The sequence below is a fragment of the Homo sapiens genome, chromosome 1, assembly GCF_000001405.40.
Source record: "Homo sapiens chromosome 1, GRCh38.p14 Primary Assembly".
Lineage (NCBI taxonomy): Eukaryota > Metazoa > Chordata > Mammalia > Primates > Hominidae > Homo > Homo sapiens.
This window is the reverse complement of record NC_000001.11, coordinates 244063273-244079094: the sequence shown is the minus strand read 5'-3', so window position 1 is coordinate 244079094 and position 15822 is coordinate 244063273. Positions and strand designations below refer to the sequence as shown.

Sequence of the window (15822 nt, the reverse complement as noted above, 5' to 3'; positions counted from 1 at the left end):
TGCTGTCAGAGATTATTAATATTATTTCCTATTACAGCACACAAGTAATGCAAGCTCATTGAAAAAGATATGGTCAACACAGAAATGCATAAATAAGAAAGTCGAGCCCGGGCATGGTGGCTCACACCTGTAATCCCAGCACTTTGGGAGGCTGAGGCAGGTGGATCACTTGAGGCCAGGAGTCTGGGACCAGCCTGGCCAACATGGTGAAACCCCATCTCTACAAAATACAACAATTAGCCGGATGTGTGTCGCGCACCTGTAATCCCAGCTACTGGAGGGAGCTGAGGCAGAAGAATCTCCTGAACCTGGGAGGCAGAGGTTGCAGTGAGCTGAGATCTCGCCACCGCACTCCAGCCTGGGTGATGGAGTGAGACTCTGTCTCGAAAAAACAAACAAAAAAAAAAAAGAAAAGAAAAGAAAAGAAAATCACCCATATCCCCCAACTGTGCTGTGGGTTGAAGGTCTGTGACCGTGGCTCACCTTAGGGCTAGCCAACAACAGCTGCAGCAATAGCGAGTGTTGAGATGCATGGACAGAGCATGGGCTTTGGAGCTGGACAGACCCAAGCCTGCCTCTCTGCCCTGTCACTCTATGGTGACCTCGGACAAGTCACTTAACTGCCCTGAGCCCTGTGTCTTTATCTGTCATGGTTAATGGGAAACATCTCCTTCCTAAGGTTGATGTGAGAATTTAAAAGAGATGAATCCCAGCAATTTGGGAGGCTGAGGCAGGAGAATCGCTTGAGCCCAGGAGTTCGAGGCCAGCCAGGGCAACATAGCAAGAGTCCCCATCTCTACAAAATACATTTTTTTTAATTAGCTGACCACGGTGGTGAGTGCCTGTAGTCCCAGCTAGTTGCGAGGCTAAGGTGGGAGGATTGCTTGAGGCCAGGAGGTCAAGGCTGCAGTGAGTTGTGTTCATGCCACTGTACTCCAGCCTGGGAGACAGTGTGAGACCCTGCCATAAATAACTAAATGAATAAATAAGATGTTCAATGTCAAATGCATGACACATAGTAGGGTCGCAACAGCCACAGGCATGAGTGGGCCCTGGAGAAGGCAGCACACGAGAAGAGCCATTCAAGTTGCAAGTACCAATCCCAGTGGCGGTGCAGAAACAGGGGAGGAGGTGGGAGACTCGTGGGGCAGTCAGGATTTCCAGAGATGCCAGGAAGGACTTTGCAGGCAGGGAGAAGGTGCTGAGTGCAGCAGGGCTGTGGGCTGTTTTATTTCCCTCCCTAACCTTCACACTCAGTCGCTCCCATCCCACTAGCTCATTCACTCTTCTCCACATCCCCGTGTTCACAGCAAAGCAGCCTGTGGGTGGTGCAGAAGATGGAGAAGTCGTGAGAATAATAGCAACAATAGCAATAGTAATAGCTGGCATTTTTACGGAGGGTTGCTGTGTGCCAGGCACCAAGCCAAGCCCTTTCTCACTTCCTCCTCAACTACGAGGGGGTGGGGAGGGGGCCGAGGGAGCTTCTGCTGTAATAGCCTCTCCGTGAGGACGGGAGACCGCAGAGGGGCTGCTCACGTGCCGACGCGCAGGGATCTCTGGCCCGCACCGGACCTGGGCTCTCCCAGCCCCACCGCCGTGGAATCTGAGGGACTTCACGCTTCTGGGAAAGGAACAACAAAGAAGGCATACACAGAGATTTTGTGCGATTCAGAAAGACTCCAGAGAGTAACAGGCCAGCTTCCCTCCGGTATTGGAAGCTACTCTATGAAACTCAAACTCATAGGCCAAAACTGCATGCTTTTTTCAGAAGGCCAAAGCAAGTCCACCTCAGCTCAGAGTATGCCAAGCTTCAATTAAATGTAAACGGATCCCTTAATGCATAGAAGAGACAAAATAGGGCTGAGGCTGCATGCTGCATTGAGTCCACATGGCACCAGGGAAGTCTGACCCCTGGGAAAGGGCACGTACAGGTTGGCTGCAGGTGCCCGGAGCATGTAAATAATTGGAAATAATGGGGCTCCAGTAGGTACCATCAAATGCGTGAATGGGATTATTCCTAGCACTTCTGCGAGCCACAGATGACTTGCGCCATCTCCTTTACTGTGCTGAGTAGCGACAGATGGCAGAAGGAGAGTTGGGCAAAACCAAGTCTCGTCTCCCCACCATTAACAAGCTGTGTGACCTTAGGCCAGGCACTTAACCTCTCTGGGTCTCAATTTCCATGCTTTTATAAGGCTGAGGAAAGCTCAATTCCCTTCTGGCTCTAAAATCCCTCTTCACCCCTTCTCACATGAACTTTTGGAATTGGCCACGGAGGCCAAAAGAAGCCGTGGCTGCATGCTGGTCTAGACTGAACAACAGACACCCCAGCAGGCAAAGCCTCGTGCAACATGCCAGGGTGTTCCTGAAATCGTAGAGGTAAATCAGCTGATTGAAAACTATATCATAAAAGTTATGGAAGTCTCACTCTGTCGCCCAGGCTGGAGTGCAGTGGCCCGATCTCAGCTCACTGCAACCTCCACCTCCTGGGTTCCAGCTATTCTCCTGCCTCAGCCTCCCCAGTAGCTGGCATTACGGGAGCATGCCACCACGCCCAGCGAATTTTATATTTTCAATAGAGACAGGGTTTCACCATGTTACCCAAGCTGATCTCGAACTCCTGACCTCAGGTGATCCGCCCACCTCAGCCTCCTAAAGTGCTGCACCTGGCCCCTTTAATCTGTTTCTTAACTTGATTTTCCACAGGTGGATTTAATAAGCTTCAGAGTCAGCTGATCTAGGTTGGAACCCTGGTTCCTGGAAAAATTACTCTCTCAACTTCAGTTTCCTTATCTGTAAAATGGTGTTAGTGCCTACCTTGAAACTTTGTTAGGGAAGCTAGCAGGAATTTATGTCGAGTGAAGCAGAGTACGTTAAACATGAGGTGCTCGCCTCATATCAGCTTTTTTGCACGATCCTCAAAGCAAAACACATGTTCATGTGTACTTGCCTTTTTCTCTGTGGTCTCTTTTAGGTCCTCCAGGACAGGGACAATATTTTTATTCTTGGTAAACCCTATAGTGCTTTGCACAACACTTAGTAGAATAAGTGAATTCATCAATGAACGAAATTACTCTTTCGTTTTTCCCTAAGGTTCTGGTCTCTTTTAGGTCCTCCAGGATAGGGACAATTGTCATTCTTGGTAAACCGAGAATAAAACTTTTCTCTCTGATCTCTTTTAGGTCCTCCATGATAGAGACAATTTTTATTCTTGGTAAACCCTATAGTGCTCTGCACAATACTTAGTAGAATAAATGAATTCATCAACGAACGAAATTACTCTTTCGTTTTTCCCTAAGGTTCTGCCTTCCAGAGTTCACACCATCTCACACTTCATTGTTTCTCCCTTCCTCACAGCCAACATCTCTTCCGGGTGGTAGGTTTAAGTCAGTCTCCGGTCGCCGTTTTTGCAAGTCTTAGAGACTGGCCCTTTTAAAAGAGGATTCCTGACATTTGCATCTTGTGTCAGAACACATGCATTTGCATACGTTGGAGAACCTTGAGGCTCCAGACAGCCTGAAGTTAGAAAGTGCTCAGAAGAGCAAGGCAAGCCTCCCCCAGGAGGGTAGGAAGTGGTAGGCACTTACAGTTAGTGCCAGCCAACTCCTTAATGTCCCAGCCAAATTCCTGGGATGGCCAGTCCCAGGAAACCACATGTTTTTATGCTCAAGCTTGTAAAACATTGTCGTAAGTAAATCAAATTTTTGTCCTGCCCTCTCTGCTTACCAGACCAAGAGCAGTGATTATGAATGGCAAGTGGCAAGAAACGGGGTGGAGAAAAACATCACCAGTGAAGACGGAAATGTGTCTGAGAGGTAGGACGGGGGTGTCTGCTTTCTCAGGGAAGCTCCAGCTTCTGTTCCACCTCCTGGGAACCTGCCTGTGTGTCCTAATGTCCACCTAGCCCGGATGAGACTGGACAATCAAATTCATGCTCCTCCCGCTCTCCCTCACTTTACCTGTGGGGGTGTCAAAGCCAGAGAGTGAAGCCATTAAATCAGTGCAACCAGAAAATTCATGAGCTCAGAGAGGGCGGGTTGCCTGGTAGAATTAGTAAACTTCATGAGGTGAGAACCACATTTCCGTTCAGCTCAGTGTTCGCGGTGCGAGACAATGCCTCGCCCACTCGAAGTGTTTGTTGAGGGAGTGGATGCATAGATGCAGGAATAAACCAGTGAACGAACACATCGCAGCCGGCAGTAAACTCAGCAAGCCCTTCAGGTTCCCTTTCAAGGCGCTAAGACTACCCGTTTTGCAGCCTGGGCTACTTAGGGGTAACAGGTGAGAAAATATCTGTTGAAGTTTCCAGGACAGTGGAGAGGGCAATGCGTGGGCAGGTCCCAGGAGAAAAAAAAGGCTGCAGGTGGGGTGGAGCCAGCCGTGCAGGAAGCAAGTGGGAGAGAAGTAGGAGGTGGGTGCAGCTGAGCGCCCGGGGAAGCCCCTGCAGGAAGGGACGTTGGTCAGGCAGGAGGAAGGAGGAGGAAAGAGCACATCACATCTGTGGTGCCCAGGTGGCCACCCAGAGCCCACTACGCCACATAGGCTGTCATTTAATTCCTTCAAGAGCCCTGTGATTTCAGTATTATTATCTCCATTTTATGTCGGAGAAAACTGAGGCTCAGAAATAGTAAGAAACACAACCAAGGTCAAGAAGCTGGAAAGTGGAATAGCGTTGGGAATTCAACCAAGGTTTCGCCAATTTCAAAGCCAATATTCTTTCCATCCTCCTAGCACTGTCTCCTGGGAAAAATTAATGTGAGGGATACGTATCACATTGATACACATCATCCAATGATACCCTGCCTCCACCCTGCCGCCAGCCACCCAGCCCCATCAGTCCCCAAGTCCCGTTGACTTGTTTTTTCTAAGTTTGACTGGGACCCAAACCCTTCTTTCCATCCCTGGCTGGGCTGCTGCCTCAGCCCATTCCTCCATCACCTGTCACGTGGACCACAGCGGTCCTCTCCTGACAGGCCAGCCACCCTGCTTGCATCTCACATGGCACATCCACAACCACAGTGTTCTTTCTGGAGTGCAAAATGGAATGTTTTTCTCCTGCTCTAGGATGAGGCCCAGATCCCCTAGGTCCTGGCCTGGCTGACCAGCCCAGTAGCATCTCTCTCAATTGGATGGTGATCCCCAAAAAGATATGTCCACACCTAACAACCGGACCCTCTGAATGTGACCTCATTTGGAAAAAGGGTCTTTGCAGATGCCATTAAGTTAAAGATCTTGTGATGAGGAGATCATCCTAGATTACCCAGGTGAGCCCTAAATCCAATGACAAGTGTCCTTTAAGAGGCAGAGAGAGACCTGGTGCGGTGGCTCTCACCTGAAATCCTAGCACTCTGGGAGGCCGAGGCGGGAGGATCACTTGAGGTCGGGAGTTCGAAACCAGACTGGCCAACATGGTGAAACCCCGTCTCTACTAAAAATACAAAAATGAGCCGGGTATGATGGTGGGTGCCTGTAATTCCAGCTACTCGGGAGGCTGAGGCAGGAGAATTGCTTGAACCCAGGAGGCAGAGGCTACAGTGAGCCGAGATCGTGTCACTGCACTCCAGCCTGGGTGATTGAGTGAGACTCCATCACAAAAAAAAAAAAAAAAAAAAAGAGGCAGAAGAGAAGACACAGAGAGTAGAAGACCACGTGAAGATAGAAGCAGAGATTGGAGTGGTGCAGCCACCAGGAACGCCTGGAGCCACCGGCCACTGGAACTTCAGGGACAAGGGAGGATTCCCGCATGGAGCTTCTGGCGGGAGCATGGCTCTGGCAACCCCTTAATTTTGGGCTTCTTGCTTCCAGAACAATGAGAGAATAAAGGACTGTTGTTAGAAGGCACCCAGTTGCTGGTGATTTGTTTGGCAGCCCTGGGAAACTGATACACCTTTCCCATCGTGCTCTAGCCAGACCCACTGGACTGAGAAAGATCTGACAGTTTCCTCAGATTTGCCCAGTTCTCTGTCTGGTCCTTCGCACATGCTAACTCTCTGCCCAAAACACTGTTCCACCCGCTTATTTACAGGCTGACTCCTCTTCCCCTGCCACTTTCTGAAGAATCTTCTCTGGCACATCAGCCAGGTTGGACTCCACTTACAGCGCGACCCCTCTTTCGGTGCACTTCACTTTTATAACACTCATGATACTTTATGGTCATTTTTGGTTTCATTGTTTCATTGGCTGGTAAGTAAGTTCCATGACGGCAGGAACTGCTGTATCCCCAGGCCCAAGTGTGCAGTAGCCACTTCGTCAACATTTTCCCTCTACCTTAGTTCCATTTCCACCTCTGGCAAGCTTCCCCCATTATGTGAGGAAAGCCCATTTTCAGCTGGAAATACAGGAGCGAACCCATGAAAATGGGGTGAGGAGGGCAAACAGAGAATGAAAGAACTTAGTGTCATCTTCAGCCCTGTGCCCAGTCACCCCCAAGGCCAGCGCTGCTCCTGGGCTTCCTAGCCGTGTGAGTTAATAAAGTCTATTCTTTCTTCACACTAGTCTGTGTCTGTTTTCGGTCACTGAAAACAGTGACTGAAAGGATCCTAGCAGAGACGATGCTTCCACTGCTTGAAAGGTACCAACTCACACGTCCCCATGGCCTTTCTAAGAGAGAGTTGCTGAAATCCCTATGTTAGTGAGGAACTGGGGTTCAAGGGACCCTGTCATGTGCCCAAGCTCTCACCATCGTGAAGTGGGCAAGCCTGGATCTGCACCCCATCCACGCAGCAGGCAGGCAGGAAGATCAACAAAGGCCTGAAGAGAGGCAGCAGCCCAATGTCAGGCCCGAAAGCCCTCCAAATACAAATCACAAGAATTGGAGTGCAGGCCAGGCACAGTGGCTCACATCTGCAATCCCAGCACTTTGGGAGGTCGAGGCGGGTAGATCATGAGGTCAGGAGTTCAAGACCAGCCTGACCAACATGGTGAAACCCCATCTCTACTAAAAATACAAAAATTAGCCGGGCGTGGTGGCACGCACCTGTAATCCCAGCCACTCAGGAGGCTGAAACAGGAGAATCCCTTGAAACTGGGAGGTGGACATTGCAGTGAGCCGAGATCGCACCATGGCACTCCAGCCTGGGTGACAAAGCAAGACTCCGTCAAAAAAAAAAAAAAAGAATTGGAGTACGAACAGCAACAACAAAACCCATGGTGCCTGAAATGTCCCCCTTTGTTTCCTCCAGAGTCCGTGACACACTGAATCAATGTGTCTCCACATTGACCTTGAGGACTTAATTCTAATCAGGAGCTTCGTTCAATCTCTTACAAGTCTGATTCTGATTATGTTGCATCTTTAGTGATGGGACCATGAGTACCTAAAAAGTGATGAGCCACACGTCCAGACAATCTGTGTTTAGCATTTATTTATTTATTTATTTATTTATTTTATTTTTGGAGACAGGGTCTTGCTCTGTCGCCAGGCTGGAGTGCAGTGGCTCCATCTCAGCTCACTGCAGCCCCAACATCCCAGACTCAAGCGATCCTCCCACCTCAGCCCGCTGAGTAGCTGGGGCTACAGGTGCACACCACCACACCTGTCTAATTTTTGTTTTTTGTTTTTTGGCTTTTTTTGTAAAGATGAGGTTTCACTATGTCACCCAGGTTGATATTGAGCTCCTGGGCTCAAGTGATCCTCCTGCCTCAGCCTCCCAAAGTGCTGAGATTACAGGCATGAGCCACAGAGCCCAGCCTGTGTCTGCCATTTAAAACAAACTATGGGCTGGGTGCCGTGGCTCATGCCTGTAATCCTAGCACTTTGGGAGGCCGAGGCTGGCAGATCACCTGAGGTTGGGAGCCCAATGTCAGGCCCGAAAGCCCCCCAAATACAAATCACAAGAATTGGAGTGCAGGCCAGGCACAGTGGCTCACGTCTGCAATCCCAGCACTTTGGGAGGTCGAGGCGGGTAGATCATGAGGTCAGGAGTTCAAGACCAGCCTGACCAACATGGTGAAACCCCATCTCTACTAAAAATACAAAAATTAGCCGGGCGTGATGGCACGCACCTGTAATCCCAGCCACTCAGGAGGCTGAAACAGGAGAATCCCAGGCAGGGAGACCAGCCTGACCAACATGGAGAAACCCCGTGGAGAAACCCCGTCTCTATTAAAAATACAAAATTAGCCGGGCGTGGAGGCGCATGCCTGTAATCCCAGCTACTCAGGAGGCTGAGGCAGGAGAATCACTTGAACCCAGGAGGCGGAGGTTGTGGTGAGCCAAGATTGCACCATTGCACTCCAGCCTGGGCAACAAGAGCAAAAACTCCATCTCAAGAAAAAACAAAAACAAAAACAAAAACAAAAAACTGTGTGGGGCTGGGCATGGTGGCATGCACTTGTAATCCCATCTACTCGGGAGGCTGAGGGAGGAGGATCACTTGAGCCCAGGAGTTCAAGGTTACAGTGAACTATGATCACACCACTGCACTCCAGCCTGGGTGACAGAATAAGAGTCCATCTCTAAAAATACAAAACAAAAGTTAAAAAAAATTTAAATAAATAAAAAATGAAATAGTGGTTCTCTGCTCTTGGCTCAGGAAAGCCAGGTCTCCCAGGGGCTGGAAAGAGGGACCTTCTAAGGGACAACTTCATTTTCAGACAGTGGCACTGAAAGCACGGGAGAAGGGGAGTGTGACTTTGTCAGTAGCCAGTACCCTGGCTGATGCTCCCGGGTGCTCAGTCTCAGAGGGCCTGGTTCCCATTAACCTGCACTGATGCTCTCGACGCCTCCATGCCCTCGCCTCCTAGATTCCGGTGTTTCTACGTGGAGAACACACATTCCACACCTGCTGTGAATACAGAGCTCTTCAGTGACACGAGTCTCCTTCCTCCGTCCCGAACACGGGGAAAGGGGAGACATCTTCTTTGTTCATGGGTGCTGTTGTCTGATCACCCTCTGTCCCACCCACAGGGCATCTGGATCAGTATTAAATAGCTGAAGGGTCGGCTCAGCAATTGAGTCACATGGCCTCCGCAGCATGGATCAAGTAAGGGTTTCAGAAAAATGTATGTGAACATGCTCCAAGACTGTAAGGTCATAAGGGAAGAAGATTAGATAAGCCAAGTTAAGTGAAAAGTAATTGATATTTTACTGTACTTTTTTTAAAAAAAAAAACAACATTATTTCACTTAACCATTTGGCCATGGGTTAGAAATGAACTCTGGAGACACCAAAAGGGAGAATATACTATTCTCACTTCCAAAGAAATAATATTTTCTCCTCATTTCCCTTTAATTTTCGTTGAGATATGTAAAGAGCCCCCATTGCTTCGTCAGCTCAGCACCAGCCGCATTCTGGGAAACTGTCTGCCCTGCTCCCATGCCCCCTGTGCATGCATATGCGGTGCCTTCAATATGGCACCATGGGAGACTAACTTTTGCTACAACGGGCCTCACCCTTGGCACCGACCATTGGTCAAGAGGTGGGCACCTGATCCAAACGGGCCAATCATAGCCCTCCCCCCAGGATTTGGGAACTGCAACTGACAAAAGAAGTCAGTCTCTCTCTGGGTGTCTGAAAATGAAGGCATGTAAATGCAGAAGCAGTTGGCAGCCCTGTTCCACCATGTGGACTGAGGAATAGAAAATGCCAATCAGCAGAAAGAGAATCAGAGGCAAGGAGAGGAGAGCAAATCCAGACGGCATTTGAGCTTCTAGTTCTAGCTGCTTGCAAGGCCTAGCCATATTCCTCTTTTGGATTCCATTGAATCCAAGTAGCCTTATAATAAAATTCTTTTTTGGCTTAAACTCACTTAAGTTGGATTTCTCTTCCTTGCAACCAAAGAGTTTTAACTAATATGAGAACATAGTCCTATTTCAGTCTCGCTTACATGCTAATCTTAAATTCCTCAACCATTTTACTTTGTGACTTCAAAATGAAAAAAAAAGTGAAAATATTTGAGTTAGACTCTTATGCAAATTAGACTGCAATCATTCTCTTGGACTGTTTCTTCACAGAACACTGATAGCGTTTTGCTCCATGCTGGAATGGATTAAGTACAAGCTAGAAATATAAAAAATGACTAGGTTGGTGGTGTGGCTGTCCATGGTGGATTGTGGCATTTTTATGATTGTCACTAGAAATTTGATTTTCTCTCATTTTAAAGTCCATTTGCAATTGTGTTGTGTTCTCTTTTGACAATCTACCGAAGTCAAATGATCTCTGATCTTTAGGCCTATCAGCATCTCCTTGGACACTCCACATCCCATGAACCACATCCAAAAGCGATGGTCCTTGGTGTGCCACTTCCTGTTGAAGCTGCCTGTCTACCAGAATTAGCCTTTTCAAAGGCAAGGCCCTGTCGGGGAAGGTGACGGGGAGCTGTCCAACCAAGACTCTGTGAAGGAGCTGAACAAACAGAAAATCACTCTGCAAGACTCATAGGAATGACTCCTTAGGAGTCATTCTCTCTGATAGACGGCAACAAAAACAAAGGTGATATTGCCTCATCATCTTTCTTAAAGGTAGGTGTTTAACATTTTTAAAATCCATGGAAGTGGACTGGGTTCGGTGGCTCATGCCTGTAATCCTAGCACATTTGGAGAACAAGGAGGGCAAATCGCTTGAGCCCAGGAATTTGAGACCAGCCTGGGCAACATGGCAAAACCCTGTTTCTACAAAAAAAAAAAAAAAAAAAAAATTAGCCAGGAAGCGCACGCCTGTTGTCCCAGCTACTCAGGAGGCTGAGATGGGAGGATGACTTGGGCCGGGAGTTCGAGGCTACAGTGGGCCACAATTGCACCACTGAGCTCCAACCTAGGTGACAGAGCAAGACCCTATCTCAAAACAAAACATACAAAACAAAACATGGAACTAGACAAGCTCTTGCCTGATATCTACTTAGGATCTCTCAGGTTTCTCCTGTTAAAAAATACAAATAACCCAAAAGCCACTAGACTTGAGCAAAGACAAGGAAGCGTGTGTCTAGCACATGGCCAGCATGCATGGGCATAACTGTAGTTAGATATTAAAACCCGAAGGCTGGTGGAAACAGTCAGCAGCCCGGTCAGTGCCCTCCCTTATCAGAGTGAGTGTGTCTTTGATCCCAATGAGCCTCAGAAGCTTGAGCAGTATATTAGTCATCATTTCTACTCTAATTAGAAAAGATTTCTTTGTTCCCAGCCCAAGTTCAATCAGCATTTCTGTTAAACAGTAAAAAAAAAAAAAATGAAGTTGGAAAAACATTCGAGTCATTTGGCCCAAAAGGTTTATTTTAAAGATGAAGAGATGAAGTCACTTGTTCAAGACTGCACAGCTGGTTATCAGAGGACTTGAGGGCAGAACTCATGTCACTCCTCACTCATAGTTCCAGGTTCTTAGAAACAAGCACTTTTCAGAAAGTGCTCAGGCCCTCACCCCAAACCTCACTGCTCCTGGATAACCCTGCACGTGTCGAAGCTGTAGATGTCTAAGAAATCAAGGGCACTGGCTTTTCTGCATTCTCCAGGGAGAAAGTTCCAAGGCACTGGGGAGCCAGGGCAGCGGGGTTTTCAAAGGCCTGCAGCGGGAGCCCTGCTCACAGGGATGCCATCCAGATGTCCTCATGTCCCCTCTGCACATGAAAGCCTCACACTGCTCCCGTCCCCTCCAGTCCCCCCTGCCTCCCACAGCAGCAGAACTGCACGAGGCTTCCCCCAGCCCCGGGGCACACATTCAAAACACCTAGGAACGCCGCTGGGAACTCCCGCCTGAAAGGACAGGCCGCCGGCTGCAGGGCGCTGAGATGGATGCAGGGACCTGCCCTTTTCCTCCGTCCGCTGGTTGCCTCCACTGGTCATTTGCTGTGGCAGGGCAGAAGAAAACAACGAAATCGCAGGGCACACAGAAGTCAAACTGACACATAACCACACTCAGAGGAGAGGACCCAACTGCTAAGCAGCTTGAATGGGAAAGTGAGAAAAGCATGGGGTTTTCACATAGCAGGTGGAGTTCGATGCAAACCATCCGGAGCGTCTTGCTAATCATTAGCGATGGCACCTTTGCTCGGTTTCAAGGAGTGCAGTTTCAGGGGCAGTGTTCCCCCTTGAGAAAGAGGCGGTAAAAACAATATACATTTGTTTAAGCTTAGGATGTGAAACACACTGATGTCATGTCTCCTTGGCTTTCCAGGTGAAGGATCGCGGTGTCACCTTTAGGATCCCTCGCCTGAAGTCAGGACTCACCTGAGCAGAATGATGGCTTCTCAGTGAATCCCACTTCCCACTTGCATTTCCAGAGACAAGTCTGGTTCCTCTAGATTCACACACACATAAAGAAATAGTTATCCTTCTCCTTGCCCCTGATCTCCCACTGAACAATGCCTGGGATATGTGGGTTTTGGAGTGTCTATCAGGAAGGATGTGTGGAGGATTTCTCGACCCCTATTATTTTCCTTTCTGTGTACAAGGCATGTGTCGGTTGCTACCTGAGCAGAGGTGGCAGCTCCATATAGGCTGGCTAAGAGAAGAAAACTGTTCTCACTCAGATTCTATAAATTACTCGCATTCTCACTTTAATATCAAGTATGATATATATTAGAGTGCATGGTTTTGGCTAGAATCAATTTGGAAGGCTGTCAAATAAAACACAAAATGGGAAAATAAATCCAAAGGAAAATTGATGACATGATTTTACTCCCATTACATTCCACTTAACAAATGCATATGTTTTACAATATCTTTAATAATAATTATTAAACATAGTAAAATACTTCCAAACTTGGCTCATTGCATAATTGTACTTCGAGTGAAAAAAAAATTATCTGAAGTCTTGTCAATATGCCACTTCCTCCTCCCCCAGCTTTTAACAGAAGCAGCCTCCAGTGGAATAATCCAAGCTGTGTTCAAGAAGTTGGCAAGTAGGTCCAATTAAATGTGGTTTTACTGTATTCTGGCGTTTGCATATCTAGTTTGCCAAGAAGTAATCTTTCACAAAAAAAAAAAAAAGAAAGAAAGAAAAAGAAAAAGAAAAAAAATCTGTACTGGCCCAGACACAGCCTGGATGGTGCAATGCTTCACATAACTTTACCCCATGACTAAGATAATCGTTTTTTCTTAAATAGCTGTGGAAAACGTATCATACATCCATCATACTCCTATATGAATCACAGAACACCATCCTTTATGGAGCTTCTTACATTTATGCATGACAAACTGAAATTCATCTTCATAGCTCTGTTTATTTTAATTATTAAACTCAAAAGGGGTTAGCTTTTAGCCACCTGAACTTGATGTATTTATTCAGGTGTACTCCAGTTGGATTATCTGAACGAGGCTATAAATGATCCTATTGACTATTAAAGACCGACCTGTCAAAGCTGCAGTCATACACATTCACAACCCTGGCTACCTGAAACTCAGAGGATAAAATGCTTCTCTAAGCTTTGCAAATGAAATCCCAGGCAGTTCTTTCCTGATGTTTTACACACCCTTGATCCCTTAAGGAGGAGCTGACTCGCGTAGCCCCTTCCAGCTAACCACGGCTCTACATGAACGATCAGCCGTATCCAAAGTCCAGATGGAAAGCTGTCAACAAAGAGACTCCTTCCACTCTGCCTACTACATGATTCATCCCTGGCGTGAAGACAGGCCCGGAGATGGCCCCACCACCCCGACTCCCATAGGTGAGCCAGGAGAGAAGCACAGGTGCCCACTCCCCAAGTCAGCAGGGAGGAATCAGGTCAGAAAGTGCTGGAAAACACACAACCTGGCCTTTGTTAGAAACCATCATGAGCTCATTAAAAACACATGCAGAAATGGTTAAACAAAATTCTCTAAATCTTTTACAAAATTGCCAGTCTATTAGAAGGACTGAGCTCACAGCAAACTCTCCCTTCCAATGTGTGCAATGGAGCAGCTAATGTCCTTTGGACTCTTGTCTATGGCATCAAGCAGAGGGAAGCTTGGGGCGGGGGGTTGTTTGTTTTTGGTTCTTGTTGTTGTTTTTTAACTTTTTTTAGAGACCAAACTGTGAAATATATCAACCAAAAGAATTATTTCACTAAACATGAATTATTATAGTCATTGCCTTAAAAAACTTACAAAAATTACAAAGTAAAAACGGAGATTTGGGTCATTATAGCAAGGGGAGAAAGAAGGAAAAAAATAGATGACTGTGGCTTGAATGCTTTTGTGAGGTGGCATTGCATCAAAGAGCAAAGTGGACACGCTGAATGGGAATTCTGAAGGCATCCAATACGCGGCCCTGTTACGTGAAAAAGTTGGATCGTAAGTTTGACCCGTGCAATATTTACCCAAAGTTTTCTTGTAAGCAGCATTGCACATAGCAGCATTGCATTCCATTGCACTGTGGCCTTTCACCAGGTGCCTTTTTCTCCAAATGGATTTATTCGCTGTGATACAGTATAGCCATAGATTTGCATTACACCACAACGTGGGCTGCACCTGCACATAAAAGAGCACATAGATGAGGCAAGGCCTGAGATTGAGATGCTCTGAGGTGGGCTCTGGCATGGGCCACCTTCTCCTGGTGAGAGTGGAGTAAATCATTTAAATCTCCGGGTAAATCATTTTAATATGTGTGCCTCCCAGGGGAGCTGTGCTGGTTTGTTATTATATATATTAATCATACTTTTAAAAATACTTATGATACAAGAGTAAACATGAACCAACGCTTTCAGTCTTGATTTCTTCAGCCTGAAGAGAAAAAATATCTGTATCCAACTTAGCCTTTGGACTAGTTAATCAGATAGAAATTTGAAAGGGCTTTGAGAGATTTGGGATTTGAGAAAAGAATCACAAGTACAATGTAAGTGATATGAGATGTGTATAGCTAAACACGTACACACCTGCAAAACCCACCTGAGGATGCGGAATCTTTTTCATTACTATGGTATTTTAGTTTTCACATTTCATGCAGAAACTGCTTTCCTGCTTAATACTGAAATAAACTTGAAACTATCAGTGCTTGGTGAATTTAAATCACAAAAACCCACATTGAAAAAAGTCTACCTTGGTAGGAAGGCTTTAGGATAAGGAAAAATTTCGTCTTAGTGCAAAAAAAAATTATTATTGTAATAGTGAGGTCACCTCAAATTTGCATAGCATCTTTCCTCTGAAAGCTTAATGCTTTTGCATATTCATTTTCATGTTATTCTAAAGAAAAAGGTGACACGGGTATGAATATGCTGGTCTTACAAATGGAGAAATGAAGGTATCAGGGTGGGTTTCCTCGGGTGTTTCATTGATAGATCTTCCCCAACTTTCTCTTGAGCCTTCTTTCCAGTAGATGATGCTGAGAGGAGGTGAGAAACATTCCAAGAAACCAAGGCCAATTTTTAGATTAAGTGGAAAAATATTCAATTCTCCCATTTCAGCAGCAAACAAGTTTTGAGGATCCCGTTTGGCTGCCGCCCTCGGTCCATGTTTCATCTCTCCCTTCTGCACGTCCAGCAACAGCTCTGACAACCCTGCAGTGACTAGCTGCAAGGAGCAGTGCCTCGTTGTGGTTGAACAAATAACATGTTTTGGAAACCCAAGCAACCCTTTCGTAGCTGGAAGCAGAGAGGGAGAGTGTGTTGGTCAGGAAGATCCTGACAGGGTTTTAGCTCTTGGTGAGCTGGAAGGAGATGGGCCAAAACATGTCCTCTTTGACACCATCAGAGAACGTTCTGCTGTATGTATTTTTTAAATAGTTGATAGGGTCAAAGTCAGGAAAAGAAATAGTATCATTCCAATCTTAGATTCCATTGGTAAACATAGATCGCAGACAATGGTACATGTAATCATGGTAAATAGATATTTGCATAATGCAAATTTTATCACCTAGGCATAACCAGAATGTTGATTTCAGATTCAGACTTGATCAAAGATGTGCCCAGAGCAAGGAGT

General features: G+C 46.7%; 1 long non-coding RNA gene across 5 annotated transcripts, besides 3 other annotated features; it reads right to left on the bottom strand.

The window, feature by feature from the left end:
• Positions 1617 to 2117: an enhancer, noted in NCBI's record as "H3K4me1 hESC enhancer chr1:244240280-244240780 (GRCh37/hg19 assembly coordinates)". NCBI's record gives its function as "activates a minimal SCP1, AML or CMV promoter by ChIP-STARR-seq in naive H9 embryonic stem cells {active_cell/tissue: H9 hESC(naive)}" and the evidence as "EXISTENCE:reporter gene assay evidence [ECO:0000049][PMID:30033119]".
• Positions 4230 to 4279: an enhancer, noted in NCBI's record as "active region_2833". NCBI's record gives its function as "activates an Ori minimal core promoter by ATAC-STARR-seq in GM12878 lymphoblastoid cells {active_cell/tissue: GM12878}" and the evidence as "EXISTENCE:reporter gene assay evidence [ECO:0000049][PMID:35858748]".
• Positions 10934 to 11228: a silencer, noted in NCBI's record as "tiled region #3339; K562 Repressive non-DNase unmatched - State 21:Repr". NCBI's record gives its function as "represses a minimal TATA promoter and a strong SV40 promoter by Sharpr-MPRA in K562 cells {active_cell/tissue: K562}" and the evidence as "EXISTENCE:reporter gene assay evidence [ECO:0000049][PMID:27701403]".
• LOC440742 (uncharacterized) lies at positions 11185 to 15431 on the bottom strand. Of its 5 annotated transcripts, none has more exons than NR_188394.1 (3): positions 14794 to 15431; positions 14226 to 14376; positions 11185 to 12016 (listed from the first exon to the last, which is right to left on the bottom strand). It is a non-coding gene; the product is annotated as an uncharacterized LOC440742 (long non-coding RNA). The 5 variants fall into 5 exon arrangements; NR_188393.1 differs by having other exon boundaries at positions 11185 to 11775; NR_188395.1 differs by having other exon boundaries at positions 11185 to 12897; positions 15130 to 15431.
• Between the last annotated feature and the right edge of the window lie 391 nt (positions 15432 to 15822).